The following is a 26,041-nucleotide window of genomic DNA, read 5'->3' on the forward strand; positions in this document are numbered from 1 at the left end:
ATTACCTGGCTGCCATCTTCTTGTGCCTTTCGGATCATGTTTTGTCGTGAGTCAATCCAATAGAGTTGCTTGTCCAGTGGGTCATAGTCAATGGCCCGGACATTCCGAAGGCTGTGGATGGGAAGGATGATGTCGGGGCTCTGTTGTTCATCAATCACCATGCGGTTGATGGCACTCTTTTGACTGAAGAGCAGGAAAGTCGTAGGAGCTTAAAAGGAAGAAAAGAGAAAATCTGAAATCTAGTTACCCTACATCCTCTATCATCCAATGATTTGATCAGCCTGTTGTATGTATTTCATACAAAACAGACATAGATGTTGAAGAGCTAAGGCTGAGGACAAAATTCTTTGGCATGCCCTCAAAAACTCTCTTCAGAGTAACACTAATCAGCTCTCTGGTTACCAAATCAGTTATGAATTTACCTAATGACATAGCCACCTACCCTGTTTTTCTCCATCTTGTCCACAGAGATACCACAGAAAACTTCATTTCCATCAGGTATTTGATATACAAAATTCTCCTGGTCTACCAAGTGAATAACCCTTAACCTATTCTGTCTGGTGGGTGGCAGGAAGCCTGGGCTTTTATAAATTAAAGCAGAAACTTCTAGACTGATTTTACACTTGACAGGGCAAGACCCATCTAAGGAAAAAAAAAAAAAAAAGAAGGCTGATTTTTAGTCTCAGCCTTCTCATTTGATCTTAAGTCACTGAGCCTCTCTAGGCCAAAGTTTACTCAGCGGTAAAATAAAAGTCATAGTCATCTTGTCCCTCTCACTGAGTTGCTACAAGAATTTTACAACGTATATGAAAATACTTTAGAAACTGTAAGGCACTATATAAATGTAAATTTTTAATGTTTTTAATAACTTAAAAATTATTTATAAAAAATTAATAGAGATGGGGTCTCGCCATGTTGCCCAAGCTGGTCTCGAACTCCTGGGCTCAAGCAATCCTCCCACCTTGGCCTCCCAAACTGCTGGGAATACAGGCAGAGCCACTGTGCCCACCCATAAATTTAAAATAATTATTTATTACCAGTAGTGGCAGTAATAAACTTGGTATTAACAGGCACTGAAACCTTAATGGATTGCAGATACTATTTTGTTGTTTATGTGAGGACGGCATGGAAAGAGAGCAGGTAAAAATTACAAAAATAATAATAGATGCTTTATGATATGGTTTGGCTGTGTCCCCACCCAAATCTCAATTTGAATTGTACTCCCACAATTCTCATGTGTTGTGGGAGGGACCCAGGGGCGGGTAATTGAATCATGGGGGCCGGTCTTCCCCGTGCTGTTCCCATAATAGTGAATAAGTCTCATGAGATCTGAAGGGGTTCCCACTTTTGCTTCTTTCTCATTTGTCTCTTGCCACCGCCAGGAAAGAAGTCCCTTTTGCCTCCCACCACAATTCTGAGGCCTCCCCAGCCATGTGGAACTGTAAATTAAACCTCTTTTTGTTCCCAGTTTCCAATATGTCTTTATCAACCGCATGAAAATGAACTAATGCAGTGGTGCGATCTCGGCTCACTGCAGCCTCCACCTCCCAGGTTCAAGCGATTCTCCTGCCTCAGCCTCCCAAGTAGCTGGGATTACAGGTGCCCACCACCATGCCCAGCTAATTTTTTTAATTTTAGTAGAGACAGGGTTTCACCATGCTGGTCAGGCTGGTCTCGAACTCCTGACCTCGTGATCCACCCACCTCAGCCTCCCAAAGTGCTGGGTTTGCAGATGTGAGCCACCATGCCTGGCCAAGAATGACTTCTGGGAGACTACCAACAACTTCAAAGTCTAAGGCCATTTTTTAAATCTTCATTAAAATATCTGTATACATTTCATAATTATACTCTATTTTCTTAGTGCTTAGACATCACCTAAATACAGGAGAATTTTGTCCTTCTCAGGAATATAAAACATAAATAGCCAAGCCACGACTCCTTGCTTTATTTCCTCCTATTCCCCATTCTTCACAGCTCCATTATTTGTGGTCTCTCAGCTTATTTTACATTTACACTCAAATGAATACTGGCTTAAATCCCAAAGGAAATCAGTACTCACAAAGAAACTTGTTATCTACAAAACTGCAATTCTGCTTTAAGTTCTTCATTAGTTAAAAACCCACACTCAGCTTGGAAGATTTAGAAAGTTATCCCAATGATCCTACTACAAATCTCCATTTCTGGAGTCCATCATACTAATACATTGATTTAACAACTTTTAGCAATTTTTGTGGAGTCCATACTTCGAGTAGTAAAAACACATCACACAGAATAGCTAAAAAGTCTCCCACTATCATTTTTATTTTAAAAGAATTATATTTTGGCAGTACTACTTTCTTAGTAAAGCAAGAAAAAAATTTTTAAAGGTTCTAAATTGGCTGGGCACAGTGGTTCATGCCTGTAATACTAGCCCTTTGGGAGGCTGAGGCAGTAGGATCACTTGAGGCTGGGAGTTCAAGACCAGCCTGAACAACCCAGCAAGACCCCCTTCTGTTTAAAAGACTTAGAAGAAAGATCCCAGAGTTTTAGTTCCCATATTTTCTTGCCTGGGAAGCAATTAATCAAATATATATTTGGCTCCTAGGATATTTTGCTGGGTACTCTCTTTTCCAAGCAAAATTTTAACCTTCAATAAGATTCCACAATTAGTTGTGGATCTTGTTGTTCTAGAAATGCAGATTAAGAGAAAGCCATATGTGGCTCCAAATAAATACCTGCTCCAAAAAGTCTACTCAAATATATTAAAAATTACAAATTAACTGGTTATTTCTAAAAGGCAGCTAATATTTTGACCTATTTTCAAGTCAGTGTTTAAAATGACAAAGAATATGCCATTTTAAAAGCCTAAATCCACCCTATCAAATTTATTAAACTCTAACCACCTCTCTCACATTTCCTTCAGAATGGTGCTTTAACAACGACCTCATCTGGTTGTCTTGAGTCTCGCATTCCCACAATGGAGACATCAGAGAAGCTGGAGGATGAGATGTACGTAGGAGGGAGCTTTTCAGTTCTCTTCTGAAGGCATATGTGTTCACTGGTAGCTTAGACAAAGGTGTTGCTCTTGTTTAAGAATAGAATAAACTATAAGGCCAAGACCATCATGTATGACTGTACCATTTGTGCTCTGTGCCAGGGGCATTGAGTAGGAACTGAAATCCAGTCCACACTTCCTTAGCCACGCCATACACCTGTAGGGCTAAATCTGCTCAGAGGAAACATCTTTTTCCAATTTGCACAAAGATGCCACAGAGGCCACTTCAGTACTGAATAAAGGATTACACAATCTGGCTTCCCATTTCCTCTCTGATCTAATTTCTTTATTCACTTCATTCCAGCAACACTAGCTTCCTAGGTGTTCCTCTAACATGTCGGACATGTTCCCCCAAGACCTTTTGCATTTACTATCCCCTTTTGCTTGATAGGCCTTCTCCCAGTATCCGCATAGCTCATTTCCTCACTTCCTTCAGTTCTTGACATAAATGTCATTTTTTCAGTAAGAACTTCCCTAATCACCCCAGTTAACACTGCAGTCCCTGTCACCATCACCCTTTCTTGCTCTTTATATTTCTTCATTATACTTATTGCCACCTAACCCCTGACATAATTTATTTAGTTTATTATCTGTTCCACTGAATTTCATTCACTGCTATGTTTTCCAACGGCTGAAGTAATGCGCAGCATGTAATAGGTGCTTGATAAATAAACACTCATTACAATAATATATGAAGAAACAAAGAAACAAGCAATAGAGCCTAGCGCAGTGGCATGTGCTCGTAGTTCCAGCAACTCGGAAGATTGAGGTGGGAGGACTGCTTGAGCCCAGGAGTTCAAGTCTAACCTGGGCAACACAGTAAGACCTGATCTCTTAAAAAGAGGGAAAAAAGCCAGAAAGAAGCACTGAGTGACAAGGAGAGCCTTGTAGCTATGATTTTGAAAGTAAGAAAATAAAATTTGAGACGAGGAAAGGAAAAGAAAAATTTATTTAGGACCTCCAATATATTACATATCATACTAAATGTTATTTAATCCACAAAATTATCTCTATTTTATAGGCGAGTGCGCTGAGGATCTGAAAGGTTAGGCCAGGCGTAGTGGCTCATGCCTGTAATCCCAGCATCTTGGGAGGCCAAGGCTGGTGGATCACCTGAGGTCAGGAGTTCAAGACCAGCCTGGCCAACATGGTGAAATCCCGTCTCCACTAAAAACACAAAAATTAGCCAGGCACCGTGATGCACGCCTGTAAACTCAGCTACTCAGGAGGCTAAGACAGGAGAATCACTTGAACCTGGGAGGCGGATGTTGCAGTGAGCCAAGATCACGCCACTTTACTCCAGCCTGGGTGACAGTGTGAGACTCTGTCTCAAACAAACAAACAAACAAACAAAAAGTCTTTCAGCCAGAACTGCCATCTTCCAGTAATTTGCCAAAATGATGAACACAAAGGGAAAGAGGAGAGGCACCCGATACGTGTTCTCTAGGCCTTTTAGAAAGCATGGAGTTGTTCCTTTGGCCACCTATATGCAAATCTGTAAGAAAGGTGATATTGTAGACATCAAGGGAATGGGTACTGTTCAAAAGGAATGCCCCACAAGTGTTACCACTGCAAAACTGGAAGGGTCTACAATGTTACCCAGCATGCTGTTGGCATTGTTGTAAACAAAAAAGTTAAGGGCAAGATTCTTGCCAACAGAATTAATATGCATATTCAGCACGTTAAGCACGCTAAGAGCCGAGATAGCTTCCTAAAGGAAGCTATCAGAAAATGGAAAGTTATCAGAAAAAGAAGGAAAATGATCAGAAAAAGAAAGAAGCCAAAGAGAAAGGTACCTGGGTTCAACTGAAGCGCCAGCCTGCTCCACCCAGAGAAGCATATTTTGTGAGAACCAGTGGGAAGGAGCCTGAGCTGCTGGAACCTATTCCCTATGAATTCATGGCATAATAGGTGTTAAAAAAATAAAAGACTTCTGGACTGTTAAAAAAAAAAAAAAGGTTAAATAATTTTCCCAAGGTCACAAAGCTGTTGGGTAAAACAGCGTATGTGTTTTTCCAAGCCTTGCCTTGTTTCTTCATTCATTTATTTAACAATAATTTCTTGAGTATCTACCACAGACTAAGTGTTATTCTAAGGCACATAAGATATGTCAATGAAGAAAACAGAAAAAAAATTGTTGCTTCATGGAGTTTATATTCCAACAGACAATAAGCAACAAATATAATAAAGAAGGAAGTGACATAAATAGTAGAGTATATAAATTACATAATACATAAAGAGGTGAAAGTGCTATGGGAAAAAGAAAAGAAAAAGTACAGATAAGGGGCACTGGCACGTTGGATAGAATGGCAGCATAATTTTAATTTTAAATAGCATAGACCAGGTGTCACTATGAAGGAAACAATTAAGCAAAGACTTGGACGTGAAGGGTATCCACGCAAATATATGCAATAACACTCCAAGCAGAGTAAACAAGCAGTTCAACAGTCATGAAGCGGGAGTACCCGGCCTAGCTGAAACCAGCAACGAGGCCAGTGTGGCTGTAATGAAGAAAGCAAGAGAGACAAGAGTAAAAGCTGAGGTTAGAGAAGAAAACTGAGTGGTGGGGAGTGAGAGTGAAGAAGGGGTTATGAAATGTGGGGTATAGGTCATGTAGGACCCAGTAGGCCATTATAAGAACTAGGTTTTTATTCTGTGTGAAATGAGAAGCCAAACTTCTCAAAAGAGATGTCTATATATGTCACTATCGTTTCCTTTTTTCCATTCACGTTTTAATGTACTGCATTCTGCATTTCACCATTACTTCCCTGAAATTACTCTCTTCAGGGTTAATAACCACTTTACCCAAAAATCCAGTGTATGCTATTTTAGACCTCCCCTTACTCATTCAACAGAGTTCATTTTTGAAACAACCTAATCTCTGTCTTCGTGCCTCTATTCTCTCCCGCTTTTCCTCTTACCTCTCTGGTTGCTACTTCTCAGTGTTCTCTGTGAACTTCTCTTCCTCAACCAGAGTTGCATAGTTTACCAAGTGCCTTCTTTTCTCTCCATCAGAGTTAGCCCACTGATGGGGGTTATGGCCCACAAGTTAAATCTGGCCTGCTGCCTGTTTCTGTAATAAAGTTTTACTGGAATTCAGCCACTTCCATTTTTAAAATGTATTGCCTGAGGCTGCTCTCACACTGCCATGGCGAGAGCTGGGCAGAGTTCAGCAGGTGTGAGACAGCCTAAACACCCACAAAGCCTATGAGAGAAAGCTGCTGGCTCTTGAACTATACCTTCTCTTTAGGTAACCTCATTCATTTTAAATACATCCTGGTAATCCCAAAATTTGTATCTTCAACCTCATGTCTCTTCTCCGATGATAGTCCATCATCTATGACACATAATCTAGAGGTCATCCTTGCTTCCTCCCTTTCTTTCCCACACAGAACTCATTAACAACTTCTGCTTGCTCTAGCTTCCACATACATCTCGAATCCATCAACCTCTCTTCAACACACACGCTGCTGCCACCACCATTGTCCAGGTCTACCTGCATTACCACACTGGTCTAACTGACTTCCCTGCTACTGGTTCTCCCCAGAAATCAGACCATGTATTATCTTTAATCTTCATAACAACCCTATACAGCAATTACTATTATTATTCCAATTTTACAAATGAGAAAAAATAAAGGCTTAAAGAATTTATTACTTGTGTAAAGCAAAAAAGCTAATGTGTGGCAGAGATTCCAAAGTATAACCTCTTAATCATTCCACTACATGCTTGTGTCCTTTCTCTTTCACAACTGAAGTTGGCATCAGAACAGACCAAATTTTTCCTATGGGAATTCTGACACATTCTCTCAAGCACAAAAGAAAGTCATGTCAATAGTTAATTACCTCTAATATCCTTAGCAGTTTGTTACTTTCCATCATATTGACCCAAACCCTACACCCCTCCCATAATCTACTCTTTCTGATTTAATCTACTTATTTCTTAATCGTATCTACCAATTTGTTCTTGTCTATCCACCAAGAAATGGGCCTTCATATATATTTAAGTTATAAGCCAGGTTTCCCCTAGCCAACAATGTTTTGTTACACACTTTGTTGTTAGTGTTATGTGTGTACTTGCCGGTATTTAAAAATCAGGAGATGAGGGAGTCACACACACAAAAAAATCTAGATTCAGGACCAAATGAAAAGATCTGGTAACATCAGCTTCAGTTAAACTGCAACTGCCTACTATGTTCATTGCATGTTCTCTTTAGTTTCTCATCAACTGTTACTTTATACTGGGTTACATGTTCTCATACGCGTTTTCTGTATGGCCTGTTAAACATTTAAATTTTTTATGACTGTCCTACTCTTTGCACTTCAAAGGACAAGTAAGTTGTGTTTTGCGATTCACTGTTTTACTGTTTGTAATGTTCTTCCCTTCCTTTACAATAAATATGATGCATGAAACTATGCAACTTTTACACTTAATATTTAATGTCCAAGGGTAAAAGACTTAATTTTTCCTTTTTTTTTGAAGAAAGAATCTCTCTGTGTCACCCAGGCTGGAATGCAGTGGTGCCACCATAGCTCACTGCAGCCTCAATCTCCTGGGGCCAAGTGATCATCCTACTTCACCCTCCTGAGTAGGTGGGACTACAAATGCACACCATTACTCTGGCTAATTTTTTTATTTTTTGTAGAGGCAAGGTCTCGCTATATTGCCTAGGCTGGTCTTGAACTCCTGAGCTGAAGCATTCCTCCCACCTCAGCTTCCCAAAGTGCTGGGTTACGGACATAAGACAATGGACCAGCATAAGACTTAATTTTTCTATAACATCAAATTGCTATCATCAAACAAGTAATAAGTAACAAACACTTGCATTCCCCTACCCTTTAACCAAACAAATAACCCCCTCTGGATTTCCACACTATTTAACTTTAGAAAAAACACACACTAAAGTACTTTGAAAATGCTGCTTTCTCTCATTCTAGCTTGCTTTGGAGGGAAATGCAGCTTACCACTACAAGTCCTGTTGTCAGCATTAAGAGAGTAGTGGGCAGGGCATCCACAAACAAAACCCCCAACTGGCACAGCCAAGCAGAGGTGGGAGCAGTGCCCATTGCTGGAAGCACATTCATTCCACCCTGACTGTCGAGATGAGTGAAAGACGAGGATGTCCATCACATAATCCAAATGGCCCTGAATGATGGTGCGGTTTTGGCCACTGGTTTTGTTGGCACGCTCAATGCTGCGTCGGCTCCAGTCCGTCCAGTAGATATAATCTTGGTACTGAGTTAAGCCAAAAGGATGAGGCAAGTCATCTGCTATAACTTCACGGTTGAGCCCTATTTTCAGAAAGGCAGTAGACAGGGGAGAAGCAGAGTGATGAAATATGTGAGAATACAAGTGTCTTGCTGGCAAAAAGAAAAAAAAAAGCCCTAACATATAAAACATTACATTGTAAGCAATTTAAAATAGAAAAATTCATTTAAAAGCAATTCTAAAACGAGACCAATTCTCTGAAATCAATCTATCTTCTGACCCCATGCTTCAAACTTATATTCCTGCTACAAATCACTCAGTTTCCTAAAATTCTTGCAAATGGTCTACTTTAAATGTGGTTTTATTTTCTCTATATAAGGGTCTACAGTTCACTTTTTCTTCTTGAACTATAGAAGGAAAAGATGGAAATATATATATTTTACTGGTACAAAAGTCATTTCAGGAGTATCTAGGGAGTTATAAATTTCATTACAAGTCCAATAATAATGAAACTTTCACATAATAAAAAGATGAATCCAAGTACCTGGATCACTATTAATAACAAACAGGATACAATTCCAGAACAGAAGAAGAATGGACACATTCATATGAAGTTGTATTAAAAGTATCTAACCAATGATAAATAGCAGCCACTGATATTTGCATGGAAAGAATATACTGTTTGAGTAAAAAGTAGTAAAGCTTACCAAGCATATTTGAAGATTCTATTAAGTTGGTGTCCAGGTCTGTCCAATAAAGCCTCCTTTTAGCATAATCAATAGTTAGGCCGTTTGCCCGCCCCACATTTGGAACTAAGGTAGTACGTTCACTTCCATCCATTGCAGCTCTGTCTATCTTAGGTTTTCCACCCCATTCAGTCCAATACATAAATCTAAATTCAAAATAATAAATATTTAACATTTCAATTTTTTATTATCTGGGGGAAAGAGTCATATTCATGCAAAGTAACTAAATAAATTTAAAGAAAACATACAGCAAATCAAGGAAATGGGTTAAACAAAATCACGGCTACAATGCTTTCAATTATTTTGGCACCCTAAACTAAATATTTTTTTCCATATCCCAAAAAGGAAGTGAGTCAGCTTTCCTTAGTCTTTCCAATACATTTGTTCCATCCAAACCTAGGAATTGGAAATAAACCAACAGTTTATTGCAGTACTGGCATTTGTAAAATTAACATTCAAGAAAACAGCAAAGGTTTAAAGCTCTGGTCTCAGAATCTGGTTCACTTCTGAGTAAAATATTTTTATATACTTTTGAATATTAACTAATTTGAGTTTTTAATATGCTGAACTTACTTTTTGACTTGTGTAATCAACTCTTCCTCAAAATAAGTTGCAGAAGTACATGAAAGGTAATTATAAATACTAAGCCTTTAACTGAAGTCAAAAGCAAAGCTTGAAAATGTATTTGGTCATATGGTCCAAGGGAGCATACTATATGGTAAGAACAACGACTCACCCCTTGATGTGTCCACTGGGCAATGAACACTACACTACGCTACAACAATCTCTGTGAAATTTTAGAATAATTACTTTGCTGTTATTTTCCATTTTTGAGTTTTGCACTTTAATCTTACAGTAATCCTACAGTATAGGCTTTTTATAGATGAAGAGCCCAAAACACTACAAGAAATGTGAACAACTTATCTAATGTCTTCAAGCCAGTTAGATGACAGAGCTAGAACTAGAACCTAATCCTTGGCCAAATGCCCTTTCAAGTAAACTAGTGAGGTGCTAGTTTTTGAGACTCTTGAATACTGGAACTAAAAAAGCACATCACATGCCAGCTCTCACGAAATACCTGAGGACATATATTCACTCATCAGCCTGTCAGCTGATAGCTGACTTGGTAGCAATGTATGAACATGCTTTTCTGAAAACTGAAGGTGTCCTGCCTTTATATGCATTTGCACTTGTCATTTGACAGGCATGTGCACACCACAAGAGCCAAAGAGAAACAACTGTGAGAGAAATTTCATACTTGCCAGCAGCAACCAATTAGTCCCAACTATTAAATTTATCTGTCTGGCAGCTAATGTTTAGAGCAAAGATCACCACAATATGTCAGTGCTGACTAGATGAATTACTAGCTAATCATGGAATCAATGTCACTTCAGGGAAATTATTTTAAGTAGCAAATACAGTAAACATATTTATATGTTCACACTGTTTACTTCTTTTTTTTTTTCCAAGATGGAGTCTTGCTCTGTTGCCCAGGGTGGAGTGCAGTGGCACGATCTCGGCTCACTGCAACCTCCACCTCCCAGATTCAAACAATTTTCCTGCTTTAGCCTCCAGAGTAGCTGGGACTACAGACACATGCCACCATGCCTGGCTAATTTTTTTTTATCTTTAGTAGTTACGGGGTTTCACCATGTTGGCCAGGCTGGTCTCGAACTCCTGACCTTGTGATCTGCCCACGCCTCGGCCTCCCAAAGTTGCTGGGATTACAAGCGTGAGCCACCACGCCCGGCCTGTTGACTTCTTTTATAAGTGGAATTTTTCTTTAGATTTCAGATTTCTTAGCTGCCGGCTTTAAAAAATTTGCTGACTCTTGTAAAAAGGAACACTCGCCCTTGAAAAACATCATGTTGTGAACAGTTTATTCTATCTTGTAATAACAAAGCTACTGCCAGTTTATAATAATGATCAAACCAAACTATCCATTTTGAATTAATAAATACTCCAAAATAAAGCTTTTTAAATGTAGTTTTTTCTTAGCTCACAACATTGTTTCGGTGGGTTTACTTCAATAGGCTTGGAATCTAGTATAACTGGGAAGGAGTGCAAGCAACTACAGATGGATAATACCTCTTGGTATATATACTTAACATATCAGTATACTCATCAGTAACATTTATTAACCCATTCCCCTCTTTCTTCACCTAAAGTTAATTACGACAAGAGTAAAATTAGCTAATAATTATTCATTCAAATCAGCAAAATATCAATAGTGTTTTTAAAAGTTCATCTATCATTTAGTTCTCAGATTCCTAATACGTATTATTTAAAACATTAAGAATATCATCTGTAACTATGCCATGTTCCCCGAAATGTACACTGCAGTTGCAAAGAATGCACATGTAAAGCTGTTTACCCTTCGGCAGGGTCCAACGCGAGAGCTCTGGGACTATCTAGGTCTTTCCACACCAAAACTTGTCGGTGCTGCCCATCCAACTTTGACACCTCAATTCGATTCGTTCCTGTGTCTGCCCAGTACAAGTTCTTCCCAAGCCAGTCTACTGCCATGCCTTCTGGATAATCTAAGCCGAATTCTACCACATGTTCCAGTGCACTGCCATTCATAAAGGCTCTGCTGATGGTCTGCAAAAGAACATTAACAACTAAGTCATATGGCATAAGTCTAAACCCTATCCAGAAAGAAGGTTTGGTTTGGTTTTTGTCAGGGGCAAGAGGATCCAGAAGTGCCAAGAGGCATACTATTTCCTATTAAAATTCACATAACTTGCAAGCACAGAAAAATTTGATGTCAATCTCTAATAAATGCAACTTCAAGTTTTACTGCCAATTCAGGGGAGAAATTTTAAAACTCTAATGCACCAAAAATTTATTCTACTAACAGCAGAATGACTTTACTTTTAAAATTTATCAGTAATCAAGTGGAAAAGCTGTGACCACAATGCTACAGATCTTAATTAGTGGTCAATTTTCTAAAGGTGCTTAAGATTATGGCAAGTCATCATGCCTACCATATAAATGAATGTAACCATTATACTACCATTATAGCACTGAGTCCCATAACACTTTTAAAAATCATAATTCAAACTAATAATAGATACATCTTATCAAGTATTATCCTAAGTACGTTTTGTCCGTAGATTTTGTCACTTAATACAACAGTCCTGCAAGTATGGCATCACCCCTATTTTATGTTTTTGAGACAGAGTCTCACTCTGTCACCCAGGCTGGAGTGCAGTGGCATGATCTCGGCTCACTGCAACTTCTGCCTCCCAGGTTCAAGTGATTCTCGTGCCTCAGTTTCCCGAGTAGCTGGGATTACAGGTATGCGCCACCATGACCAGCTAATTTTTGTATTTTTAGTAGAGACGGGGTTTTGTCATGTTGGCCAGGCTGTTCTCAAACTCGTGACCTCAGGTGATCCATGTGCCTCAGCCTCCCAAAGTGCTGGGATTTACAGGCCTGAGTCACCGCACCCAGCCACCCCCCATTTTCAAGATGAGGAAATTTAGAACATCACCCAATGCAAACCAAAATTTATTTATTTCATTTATTCACTTAATAAATTTAACTGAACACCATTAGAATCCAACTCTGACTCCAACACCCCATGTTTTCGCATATTACAAAAAAGTTTACATGAGTTATCTGAAACAAGCCCAAAACAATCTGGAAGAAGAAAAGATTATTCTTCAGATTTATAGGTTGGGAGCTTCCTCTCTGGCTATCCTGGTATTCTTTTCAGTAACTATTCTAGGAAGAAGAAAATAAAGAATAACTCATTGTTGGCCTTTTCCGCCTCAGTCAGGCCCTAAAATTTTGTTTAAAGTAAATCACGAATTTTTTTTTAAAGTAAATCAACAGCCATTTTACGTGAAGCACACATTTCCTTACTCAGCTAATTGCAGAAAATGTCATTCATCATTTTCAAATGGAAGAAAGTAGAGGAAGACTATGGCTTGCAGATTTAAAACACTCTGGCAAAGTATCTGTATTAAAAAGCATCTAATAAAATACTGAATGGGCCTTTCCCTTCACTTAAAAACTTAAGGGTTTTGGCTGGGCGCGGTGGCTCACGCCTGTAATCCCAGCACTTTGGGAGGACGAAGCGGGCGGATCACGAGGTCAAGAGTTCGAGCGGCCTGGCCAACATGGTGAAACCCCGTCACTACTAAAAATACAAAAATTAGCTGGGCGTCGTGGCACGCACCTGTAGTCCTAGCTGCTCGGGAGGCTGAAGCAGGAGAATCGCTTGAACCTGGGAGGCAGGGGTTGCAGTGAGCCGAGACTGCACCACTGCACTCCAGCCTGGGTGACAGAGCAAGACACCGTTTAAAAAAAAAAAAAAAAACTTGAGGGTTTTTGTTGAACTCTGCCTGTCAAACAATGAGGGAGGTGGGTCACAGCATGAAGATTCAGAAATTCTAGAAGTTCTCCCTTTTAGTCCCTAGCTTTAATATTCCAATTCTTTTGCTAACCTTGAGTGATATATCAGTCCAATAAATTCGGTTGTCTGTCACATCAAAATCCAAAGCAGAAGCTTCTTTGACACCAGTGAGTGGAATAGCCACATTATTATTGTTTGTTTCCAGAGAAATTCGTCTGATATCTGCTCTCCGTGAAAACAAAAGGAAAGCCTCTGGGACAATGCAGGTCTTCATGTCACTGATGAGTTCAAAGCCAATAGGGCAAGCACAGCGAAGGCCCTGAGGTCTATAGAGGCAGAGATGGCTACATCCCCCGTTTTCCTCAGCACAGGGGTTGGAACCTAAAAGATTAATTATAAAAGGGGCACAGAAGGACACACACATTGATACATTCAACATATTTTCACTTTTAAATTACTTAAGCGTTTGGTTCACAAATGCCTATGATTATGTCTTGCTCCCAATCTCAAGTTTCAATTCTAATATCACAAACAAGTAATATGCAGATTAATAGGGAGTAAAAGCATGGTGAAGTATTTTCCTTTAATACCACAGTAAGCTTTAAAGTAAGGTATATTATTCATACTATCAGACTGAATTCTTTTGATGAAGGTGTGCCTGTGCATGTGTATTCAGCCCTTCAATTCAAACTGGGTAGCTAGAGTAGTAAGTCAACGTTTAAAAGGTCCCTTCTCAGTAAAAAAAAAAAAAAAAAAAAAAAAAAAAAAAAAAAAGGCGGGGGGGCAGTAAAGAAGGTTTCAAAATTGCCTCAAAACATCAATAATTTACACTGCTGACTATCTCCATCTTTTTTCATTCCTGGTTCCCATTTCTAAGAAAGCTTTGGAGTTACTCACCAATCACTCGATGAACATTTGTAGCCTTTAGGCCCATGAGGTCAGGCAGCTGATCTATGATCACTTCCCTCTCTGCACTTCGTTTATGAACTCTTTCAATGCTACGCCTCTGCCAGTCAGTCCAGTAAACATAGTCACCCAACAAAGTAAATCCAAATATGTGAGGAATTTTGTCTTCCACTAGTACTCGTCTCCCAGTGCCATCAGTATTCATAACCTTCAGGTTTAAATTCAAAAGAGAAGGGGATGAATTATGCATTTATTCTTCAGCTAAAAATAACAAATCCAACTGCCTGTTGTATAAAAATCCAAGAGTCATCTTGGTATTCCTATTACAATGCTTTCTCAAAATTACATGATGATTTTATAAAAATGATTTCAAATTTTCCATATAAGCCTCTATTTGACCACTTTTCCCCCCAATCTCATATTACTCTTCCTTCTAAAAATTCTGGCAACTTTAGATTATGCAACTCTTCTATTAAACAATTGTGGCAAAATTAAAAATACAGTATCATCACCTTAAGTTTGCACATTTGTTTTCAAATTATAATGTACCTTCATATACATTATTTTATCATATATTTTGTTTTATAACATCTTTTATTTTATCTTGAGAGCTTTGCCTATGGAAACTGAGATTCATGTAAGGTCACAGAGCTTGTAAACACAGTTGATGTCTTTTTCAGGACTTTTTCCACTTAGCATGCTTTTTATTTTGTTGTTGTTGTCAGTAACAACAAAAAACAGATAAAAGGGATCTCAATAAATCTCTCATTCCTCTGAGATTATAATCACAAAAGTATCGGGATTATATGACACCCTCTCTGCATCTAAGTTTCAAGAAACTAGGATGTACCTTCTCTTTCCAACTACCTAATAGTAACATTATTAAATTCACTCTGGCATTCATACTGTATTCACAGTGCATTCACCATGCACTATTCAGTGTTGACTTACTTGGGATACCTTTATTGACATAATATAACTAATATTTGATATTTACATATAAGATTATATCTGATACCTTTTTTGGGGGGGTAGGAGCAGATATTGTTCACATGTACATGTTTTTAGTATGAAATAACATTTCTAAAGGCTAATTTGCCCAGCACGCAGGCCCCTTTAAGTGACAGAAATGGTCTCAGGTAGGGACTTGAACACTGGGACTCTGGAAGGCTTGCTGCATCTTTCAGAACAGAACAAGGTCTTCTCAGTTTCTACTGCAGCATTTCCAATTGCATTTCCAGGAACATGTACTGCTACCTCATCTAAAAGGTCATATACTTAACAGTGAACCTATGTCCTGCATTAGGGAGAGTTCAATCATTCTATTAGGGAGCACCCAACACAGAGTGATAAATATTCTGTATTATACAATACAAAAATATTACTTTCTTATAAGTTTGTGGTATGTTAAAATATGCCTGATTCGGTTTTATTCTTAGATTTAATTCTATCTTATTTTGCATTATCTTACATTTAATAAATTACGCTAATTTTGCTGATCTTTACATTCAAATGTTGGCTTTCCTATTAAAATTTGCTGGTGTAAAAGCATAAACTAGATGCCCAATATTAAACTTTTAAAGAATAACACTTATATTTCTACTTCTATTATGAGATCAACAAAATCTTTTCTCTTTCAGCTATATCACTTTCCAACATTTTTGTTTATTTTGATAAATAAATAGCTTAAACAAAAGATGGATGATTAAGTATGAATTAGGAAAATGAGGCTGGGTATGGTGGCTCATGCCTATAATCCCAGCACTTTGGAAGGCCAAGGCAGGAGGAGCACTTAAGCCTTGGGTTTCAAGACCAGCCTGGACAAAATGGCAAGGCCCTGTCTCTACAAAAATACCAAAAAATTAGTCAAGCATGGTGTGGTAAGCCTGTAGTCCTAGCTACTAGGGAGGCTAAAGCAGGCAGATTGCTTGAGCCCAGGAGTTTGAGGCTGCAGTGAGCTATAATCAAGCCACTGTACTCCAGCCTAAGTAACTCCAGCCTAGGAAAAAAATCTTTAAAAAGACAGAAAATAGGTAAGAATGAAATTAAAAATCATTGTGAGAAAAATAATAAATGCCACAATTCTAAGACCTTTTTAGTAAACATAATTCTGCATCTTCTATTTACCAGTTTCCCTTCATTCTTCTGTTCTCTAAAAAATTTCTCATGATCAGCAAACAGTATTGTGGCAGAAAGAGATTTGTATTTCAAATATAAGCTTTATCACTCAGTGGGTACCTTTAAGCAAGTCTCACAAATAAAATAGGGACAGCAGTCCAGGCGCGGTGGCTCACGCCTGTAATCCCAGCATTTTGGGAGGCCGAGACGGGTGGGTCACGAGGTCAAGAGATGGAGACAATCCTGGCCAACATGGTGAAACCCCGTCTCTACTAAAAATACAAAAAATTTGCTGGGCGTGGTGGCGCACACCTGTAGTCCCAGCTACTCGGGAGGCTGAGGCAGGAGAATCGCTTGAACCCAGGAGGCAGAGGTTGCAGTGTGCCGAGATCGCGCCACTGCACTCCAACCTGGCAACAAAGTGAGACTCTGTCTCAAAAAAAAAAAAAGGGACAGCGCCACTGCCATCACTGAATTAGTTAAGGATCAAATAAAATAATGCTAAATATATAGCACAGTATTAGGTGCACTATCTGGTAAACACTGGTTCCTGTCCTTTAAAAATCATTTTATTAAAATGCTTTAGTTCCTAAATGTAAACAGCTAAATGATTGTATTTAATTATTTAATGTAGTGCTTCAAAATAAAAATACATAAATATAAAAGAATATATGAAAATAAAAGACCAAAACAACCACTCACTGTTAAACTGAAGACAAAAACCAAGAGACCTTTATGTATCCTGAAACCAGTGGGAAACTACACAGCTACAGCCTCCCATTTCCTACTCCCATTTTTATTGTTTACTTTTGCTAGTTAGATATAAAGTAACTAAAACAGTAAACAAAAAAGAACAAATATTTGACAATTTCATATGAGTACACTTTTGCTGCTCTGCCAGACCCCTAACTCACCTCCCCGCAAATCAAACAACATTAGTAAAGACATCTAGTAAATGCAAACCACCATGATAGACCTGATGAATGCTGAGAAGTTTAGAACAGGGCCTCTTCCAGCTAATGTATTACAATCTAATTGGGGAGGTAAACGATATTTACATTAAAATTACACACATATCCCCTCTCTGTAAGTAATCAGGAAAAACTTCAGGAAATAATAGCAGTTGAAATTCATCTTGAAGAATTAGAATTTTGACAAAGAAAAAGAGAAACAGATTTTCTAGAAAAAAAGAAATGAGTTAAGACACAGCAAAGCCAAGGATGCACACGACATGTTTGACTTTGAAAGAAATGCCTTGACTGAGATAGAACGAACACATGGGGGACTCAAAGGATACAGCATCAAGCAGATACCACCCTATGGCAGGTATTAAATTCCAGGATAAGGAGAATTACAGAAAGCAAGAAGGTTCTGAAAGCACTTTAAGCAGGGTGACACAATAAACCCATGTTTCAGAAACACTTCATTTATCTCTGTCACCCTGTTCAGCTTGTGTTAAAGATAAATATCTTATTTTAAATGTAGAATTATGAAAAAAATAAATAAACCAATATAGAATTATGGTTAGCAAAATATTTTCAATTTCTGTGAGATGGCAAGAGAGGTCCAAAATCCCTTATCTAAAGTCAGGGTCAGTTGTATTCCTGAATTCAGACTGTTTTTGTCTTTTTGTTTTTTTTTAAAGAAAGGTTAACACAATGCACATAGCATATCACCTCTACTTGGGTTCAGGGCAGCACTATTTATAGCCAAACATGTTAATATTTCTGCAATAAAACACGGCCAGGCGCAGTGGTTCACACCTGTAATCCCAGCACTTTGGGAGGCCAAGGCAGGAGGACCATTTGAGGTCAGGAGTTCGAGACTAGCCTGACAAACATGGTGAAACCCTGTCTCTACTAAAAATAGAAAAATTAGCCGGGAGTGGTGGCTAACGCCTGTAATCCCAGCTACTTGGGAGGGTGAGGCAGGAAAGTTGCTTAAACCCGGGAGGCAGAGGTTGCAGTGAGCCAAGATCGCACCATTGCACTCCAGCCTGGGCAACAAGAGCAAACTCTGCCTCAAAATGATAATAATAATAATAATAATAATAAATAAAAGTATGCCCGCAGTGTGGGACAGACTACAAATAGTCTCACACTGGTTCAGATCAAGTTTTCCACCAAATCAATTAACAAAAGCAGCATTTGGTTTTCAGAGCCCTTTGGATTTCAGAATTGCAGATAAAGGATTATAGATCAGAAATACTTTGCTCATCTTCACTTCAGTCCCTTGAGAAAACTGGGGTTTGGATCAGTGTTAATACTGCTCTAGATACAAGCAAGGGTCTCAGGAAGAAGAGAGCAAAGCAAACAATGAAAAGAAAAAGGTCTTCAGCAACATTTGCTGAAAGGACAACAAATGAAGACCACGATCAAAGTATTAACAAGCTCAACAAAGGTATTAACAATGAAGGTATTAAGAATGGCACAGTGGCGAAGAACTCAAAATAGTTCCTGAGAAGGCACAACTAATGATTTGGTTGCTTTACTCACTTGAGCACTAGTCCCTTCCAACCATTCCTTGTTCTCTCACTCGAAAAGCAAAAACTAAAAGGTCTTTTTTTGGTAATGACGTAAATACAAAAGCAAGATCTATCAATTCATGTCTATTTCAAGTTAAGCAATGTAATTAAGATTTATTAAAGATTTTTTTAAAACCACGTTTTGTAAGCACACTGTTTCCTTTAATTCCTGATCTCCTTGTTCTCATCTGGTGTAGTTTTTACAATAGGTTTGGATCTAAAACAGCACTGTCCAGGAGAAATATAACACAAGCCACCAATGTAGGCCGTATGTGTCCATTTAAAATTTTCTAGTAGTCATATTAAAAAGTACAAAACATGCCAGGAGAATGTTTTCGCTCACACCTGTAATCCTAGCACTTTGGGAGTCCAAGGCGGGTGGATCACTTGAGGCCAGGAGTTCAAGACCAGCCTGGCCAACATGGTGAAGCCCCCTCTCTACTGAAAATACAAAAATGAGCCAGGTGTGGAGATGCACACCTGTAATCCCAGCTAGTCGGTAGGCTGAGGCAGAATTGCTTGAACCTGAGAGGCAGAGGTTGCAGTGAGCTGACACCGCACCACTGCACTTCAGTCTGGGTGAAAGAATGAGACTCATCTCAAAAACAGTATAAAACAGTAGACAGAATTTTAATAGTATACTTTATTTAATCTAACACATCCAAAATTCTTTTCTCTCAACCTGTAATCAATATTAAAATTTTATTAATGACATTTATGGTTTTTTTTTTAATACTAGGTCTCTTAGAATGTGTTTTACAATTAAAGTACATCCTAATTCAACCTAGGCACATTTTAAGTTCTGCAGAGCCACATGTAATTAGTGGCTACATATTGCACTGTGCTGGATTAGAGTCTTCAGAGTGGTGACTACATACAGCCTATAATAAAATTAATTGGTTCCTTTTTTAGTTTACATCACTGTCCCCTCTATACCTGTCACCTTCAGGCTTACCTCAGATCGATCAGGCTCACTAAAGCTTCAAACAAATGTCTTTTATTTGGTCTTTCTTTCTTCCAAGCTATATACTATTTAATTCTAATATGAAGTTAAAATTACTTCACACACACACACACACACACACACACACACACACACACACGTCTTAGATGAAAAAAACTACTTTTTTTCTTCTTGTCACATTTGCAAGTTTACATATAAAACACTAGCTAAGAGGTTAGTTAGAAGGAGCAACAAAGACCTGATTCTTTCATTTATTTTAGGCTATGTCAAAAAGGAAGTATTAAGACCATAGATATATTATTAGAAAACCCATTTCTGCCATCTCCTTAGCCCTCCTGCTTAAGACACGCTGCAGTCTAGATCAGCCATGTACTAACAATGGTTAAAACTAGGTAGTTCATGGTCGTCTCTACTCTGCTTTCTATACTCTGACATTTTCCATAATTTTTAAAAAATGAAGAGAAAAAGCTAAGAAGCAAGTCCAAGGACACACAAATAATAATGATGATGATAACTGCTGTTATTAATAAATGCTATTATTGGCCGAGCGCGGTGGCTCACGCCTGTAATCCCAGCACTTTGGGAGGCCAAGGAGGGCGGATCACCAGGTCAGGAGATCAAGACCATCCTGGCTAACATGGTGAAACTCCATCTCTACTAAAAACACACACACAAAAAACTAGCCAGGCGTGGTGGCGGGTGCCCGTAGTCCCAGCTACTCAGGAGGTTGAGGCAGGAGGATGGCGTGAACCCGGGAGGTGGAGCTTGCAGTGCACCGAGACTGTGCCACTGCACTCCAGCCTGGGCGACAGAGTGAAACTCAGTCTCAAAAAAAAATAAAATAAATAAATAAATAAATAAATAAATAAATAAATAAACGCTATTATCATTTTTGTTAGTATGGTATAGAAAGGAATTATAAGGATCCTCCGAAGAGATTAAGGGATCACCAGCTTAAACAATATCTGACTGTGAGACTTTGCATCTAAACACACAGATAATGTATTTTCCTTCACACAAAGTCCAATTTCTGAAATGTTTCCTTCCATTACTTTTGTAGAGGTGACACTATTAGAAAACTGACTTCTCCACTAAGTATTTCTCTTGTACCAGCCACACAATCTTTTTCTACCGGGCACAAGTTAACCATAGTGAAATAAGAACATGTTGCTCTGTCTTAAAGAAATCACTATTCCATTTCTCATATTCCTGTAAAAGTTTTGGACAGGTTACTAGGTCTATAAATACAGTTTAAGCTCCTTATGTTTAAAATAACACAAATCCTGGCAAAAGCTTGTTTGTATATTCTGAACCCAGAACAAATGAACCACTTTAGGCAATTCCAAAAGATTACACTTATGCTTTAAAAACTGTGCCAATGTTAATTAAATCTGACAACTCTTAAGGGTGTACTTCACTGTATTACCTCAGAGTGGTTTAATTAGTTAAACTGAAATTAGGCTTCTGTCACTTCTAAAATCTAACTCCAAATCTGAACCAGAGTCTCCAGTGGTTTCAGCTGCTTTGACCACACTGTGGCACATTGGTTTAACATTCTGAAATATTCTAAACCACACTGAGAATATAGGCTACAAGAGGAAATAGACGTGGGTTAACCATAACATTATCTGCACAAAGAAGAAGTAATGGCAAATCTTCTACAGACATCACATCCAGTTTTTGAGTCATTTCATCAGCTCATTAAATGTCAAGACAGGACTGCCCATGCAATCTTGGAATGCAGCCAGTCTACTACCAAAATTGCTGCTATGCAACTTCACTTGACAAGACAAGTTCAAGGAACAGATGCAGGAGGACAACCAAGCAACCACCATAAAATGTGCTAGAGTTGGAATGCTATAAAGTTCTAGAAGAGAAACTCAAATTATGCCCAAAATGAACCACTCCTCTTCTAATGTTCCAGACAATATCCAAAACAAGCAGTGAATTAAAAGCTTATACATAAGGAAGACAGATATGACTGAGGGTTGGGGAGCATATTTTTTCTGATACAACTTCATAGAACATAAAATATAATTTCACACAAATGGGATTTTAAAACACAGAATATTTATCCACGGAAATAACATTTCAATCATGCCAAATCTCACTGAGATGACAAGTATAAAGAAATGCTTTGGACCCAGTAGGTGAAGTAAAGGGACACCACACACCTGTTTGAGAGAGAGGTAGGGGCAATTACAGTGCTATATTCAAAGCCTTTTAACCTACTTCAAGATACATTAAGTCTGAGTACATATAAGTGATTTTAAATATGAAAAGAATTGAAGTATCATAGTTACTCTGGGTAGTTTTATAATATTTTTTGCAAGGAATCAGGCATTGAATATTAAAGATTTGCAATTACTATGCTCTTTTTCTGTTAGAGCTAAAAATTGCTACTGTGACCAAAGCTTTCTAAAACCTGAATTACTCCAGGAAACGAAAAAATTGAGAACAGAGTTCCAGATGAAGGCATCATGATGACGAATGTCAACATCCTGGTCAATTATACTCAACTGCTTCATAAGACACTTCTGAAAGCCTCACTGTCCTGAGGCCCCAAAAACCTAATAGGGAAAAGATTAACATGTCAACAAGGGAAAACTGCCCTCTCTGCTCTCATTCTTTTTAAGCACAGCTAAAATAAATTCTTTTGTTTTTGGGGGGACAGGGTCTTGCTCTGTTGCCCAAGCTAGAGTTCAGTGGCATGATCTCAGCTCGCTGCAACCTCTGCCTCCCAGACTCAGGTGATCCTCCCACCTCAGCCTCCAGGGTAGCTGGGACTACAGTTGCACACCACAATGCCTAGCTAATTTTTGCATTTTTTATAGAGATGGGGTTTTGCCATGTTGCCCAGGCTTGTCTCAAACTCCTGGGCTCAAGTGATCTTCCCACTTCAGCCTCCCAAGTAGCTGGGACTCCAGGAGTGCACTACCACGCCCAGCTAATTTTTATTTTCTGTAGAGCCGGGGATCTCACTATATTACCCAGGCTGGTTTCAAACTCCTAGCCTCAAGGGATCCAGGGATCCTCCCACCTCAACCCTTCCAAAGTGATAGGATTACAAGTGTGAGCCACTGTGCCCAATAATCAACTAGCAATTTTCAAATAGGAATTCACAAATTTCATTGTTATGCGATGTACCCCAGACACAAAATAACACAACAGGCCAGCACCAGGTTTACAACTCAATGAACATTAAGTCCAAACTCCAGGTGCTCTGCTGAGTTGAGGAATCTAATGATGGAGTTTATCAATATCATTCTTCTCTGATCATATGTTATGAAGATTTGGGGAGAAATATATATCCATACTAACATACAGTACATGTTGTGTGGTAAAGTAGCACAAATGGGCAAATATTTAGGTATTTAAATTAGTTATTTTGAATATTTCTCAAACTGAAGTATAATCAATCTTTCTTTTTTTTTTTTAAGCAGAGTCTTGCTCTGTTGTCCATGCTGGAGTGCAGTGGCCTGATCTCGGCTCACTGCAACCTCCGCCACCCGGGTTCAAGCAATTTTCCTGCCTCAGCCTCCTAAATAGCTGGGATTACAGGCGCATGCCACCACGTTTGGCTAATTTTTGTATTTTTAGTAGAGACGGGGTTTCACCATGTTGGCCAGGCTGGTCTCGAACTCCTGGCCTCCAGTGATCAGCACACCTCAGACTCTCAAAGTGCTGGATTACAGGCGTGAGCCACCGTGCCCAGCCTCAAACTGAAGGTATAATCAATTTTAAGAAACACAATGTTACAAATTGGCAAAGATTCAAAAGGAAGTACTTGTTGATACTTGTCATATTATCAGAACAGCCTTATCTCAACAATAGATTTATTATAATTTCTTAATGAGGAATTAATCTTACAAACCAACAGTAAAAAAAATTATCAACAGGTTCCTATATGTTTTTAACAGTACAAAGGCTAAGATACCAGACAAAGAAACTCCTTTAAAAAAGAAGTTTGAATACTTGGGAAACAAATTTCCTTATTAGGGTATTGATGAAATAAAGGAAGTTATCATAGGAAAATGTAGCCCTGCAATTTCAGGCTTAGAATATGAAACAGAACATTCAGCAAATGCCAAGTTTTCAGTACACATCATACAAAATAATACCTTCTTTATTCAAAAGTTCTTGGTACTAAAGGTTCTAATAAACCTTGTTTCTGTTTCCCAACAAAGGTGTGCCAGGTAAAATTAGATTTGTACAAAACTAGCTATGGACATTGTATCCTCTTAAAGTAGGGAAGCTTACTCTAAGATTTAAAGCAAATACACATGTTCTTACAGTAGACATGAAAATCTCTCTTTTTATCTATACTATCAGGTGTTGCTGCATTGTCAGTAGAAACTCAGAAATGAAAGTGGGCAGGAGAAACCAAAATAAAAAGTATATAATGAAAAAACAGGTCGGGCATGGTGGCTCAAACCTATAATCCCAACACTTTGGCAGGCCGAGGTGGGTGGATCATTTGAGGTCAGGAGTTCGAGGCCAGCCTGGCCAACATGGAGAAATCCCATCTCTACTAAAAATACAAAACTTAGCTAGGCGTGGTGGCATGCGCCTGTAATCCCAGCTACTCGGGAGGCTGGGGCAGGGGTATCACTTGAGCTTGGGAGGCAGAGGTTGCTGTGAGCCGAGATCACGCCACTGCACTCCAGCCTGGGCGACAGAGTGAGACCCTGTCTCAAAAAATAAAAATAAAAAAGGCCGGGCACAGTAGCTCATGCCTGTAATCCCAGGGCTTTGGGAAGCTGAGGCACGCAGCTCCAGGTCAGGAGATCGAGACCAGCCTGGCTAACACAGTGAAACCCCGTCTCTACTAAAAATACAAAAAATTAGCCAAGCGTGGTAGCAGACGCCTGTAGTCCCAGCTACTCAGGAGGCTGAGGCAGGAAAATTGCGTGAACCCAGGAGGTGGAGCTTGCATGCAGTGAGCCGAGATCGCGCCACTGCACTCCAGCCTGGACGACAGAGCGAGACTCCGTCTCAAATAAAAAATAAAATAAAATAAAATAAAATAAAATAAAATAAATAAATAAATAGAAAAAGAAAAAAGAAACTGTGAGAGAAATTTAGCATTGACAATACTATTGTTTTCAATAAAACCAACTATTAGAAACACACTGATTTTGTCAATCAGTTAAATGGGTATATAACAAGAAAAGCAACCTCAAGAAAATTTAAGCTAATAGTACATTCTTAATTTTACACCATGGCAAAAATGCTTTAAACCTATAAATTATCAACGATATATCTTGGCTATTAGTAAGAAGTACTACAGGCCCTCAGTGCAACAAACGTTTTCAGCAGTAAAACCTGATCCTAAAAAAAAAAAAAGGAATGCTGTTAAGAAACAAGGTTGTTCTGCCTACTGCAGGGTCATATAAAATAGAAATAAAGGCTTTTGATCTTTCCTCTATCAAAAACATGAAAATTATTCTTTCTGCTAATGCTTTAGTACTTATTATGGGAAGGCCCCACAACAATATAGTAAAAATCAGGAGGGGGGGTGGTGGCAGAAGTACTGTGCAGACAAGTAAACTAGGTTTGTCCACAAAAGGCAATGAAGTCATTTCAGCATAATGAAGAAGAGACATAAACAAGTACTAGCAGGCACCTTTTAAATTTTAACACCTACAGATAGGTGGCCACTATCACCTGACAAGTAGGGAAAACAGACATACCCTCACATATATGTTATTCTATTAAAGCAGGAGCCAAATACCACAACCATCTTTTAAAAAATGTGACATCATTAGCAATGCCCTACGCTCAATCCCTCCTTCCCGAAGCTTATTATAAACCTGAGGTTAAATCTATTCATTCTTTCTACAACTCTGTACAATATAAAAACACATCTAATACCCAGAATTCCCCATTCCTTCTCCCTGGTTTCCCTAATGTAGCCAGCATCTGGTCACATCACCACTTACAAAAGAGGAAGTGAGAAGCTGATCTAAAGAATTTCCACTAAGCGAGCAGGTAGCATAAATGAATGAACACAGTGAGACTTTCCCATGTGATCCACTCAAGACACATAGGTTTACTATGTCTTACCTTGCTATATAAATAATTTACCAAATAATTATCTTTTCTTTCCAAATGTACTATAAACACATATACAACAGTGTGAGCCCAAACTTTTTTTTTTTTTTTTTTTTTTAGACAG

General features: G+C 38.7%; 1 protein-coding gene and 1 pseudogene across 16 annotated transcripts in view, besides 1 other annotated feature; one reads left to right on the forward strand and one right to left on the reverse strand.

Annotated features, from left to right (window-relative positions):
* LRP6 (LDL receptor related protein 6) overlaps window positions 1-26,041 on the reverse strand; it is a 151,020-nt gene that overhangs the window by 34,806 nt on the left and 90,173 nt on the right. For 15 of the 16 annotated variants that reach the window (NR_182264.1, XR_002957325.2, NM_002336.3 and 12 more), the window contains 6 exons: window positions 14,249-14,465; window positions 13,443-13,732; window positions 11,363-11,589; window positions 8,950-9,134; window positions 7,999-8,325; window positions 6-208 (listed from right to left, as the gene is read on the reverse strand). Coding sequence is in view for 14 of the 16 variants with exons in the window: in NM_002336.3 (NP_002327.2) it covers window positions 6-208; window positions 7,999-8,325; window positions 8,950-9,134; window positions 11,363-11,589; window positions 13,443-13,732; window positions 14,249-14,465 (1,449 nt within the window). In the remaining 2 variants the exon portion in view is untranslated. The remainder of the gene's footprint in view (window positions 1-5; window positions 209-7,998; window positions 8,326-8,949; window positions 9,135-11,362; window positions 11,590-13,442; window positions 13,733-14,248; window positions 14,466-26,041) is intronic. The other variant, NM_001414255.1, reaches the window with a different exon arrangement.
* RPL21P100 (ribosomal protein L21 pseudogene 100) lies at window positions 4,393-4,974 on the forward strand (annotated as a pseudogene).
* Window positions 21,378-21,427: a silencer, noted in NCBI's record as "silent region_4250". NCBI's record gives its function as "represses an Ori minimal core promoter by ATAC-STARR-seq in GM12878 lymphoblastoid cells {active_cell/tissue: GM12878}" and the evidence as "EXISTENCE:reporter gene assay evidence [ECO:0000049][PMID:35858748]".

The sequence above is a fragment of the Homo sapiens genome, chromosome 12 (genome assembly GCF_000001405.40).
Source record: "Homo sapiens chromosome 12, GRCh38.p14 Primary Assembly".
In the NCBI taxonomy this organism is placed as follows: Eukaryota; Metazoa; Chordata; class Mammalia; order Primates; family Hominidae; genus Homo; species Homo sapiens.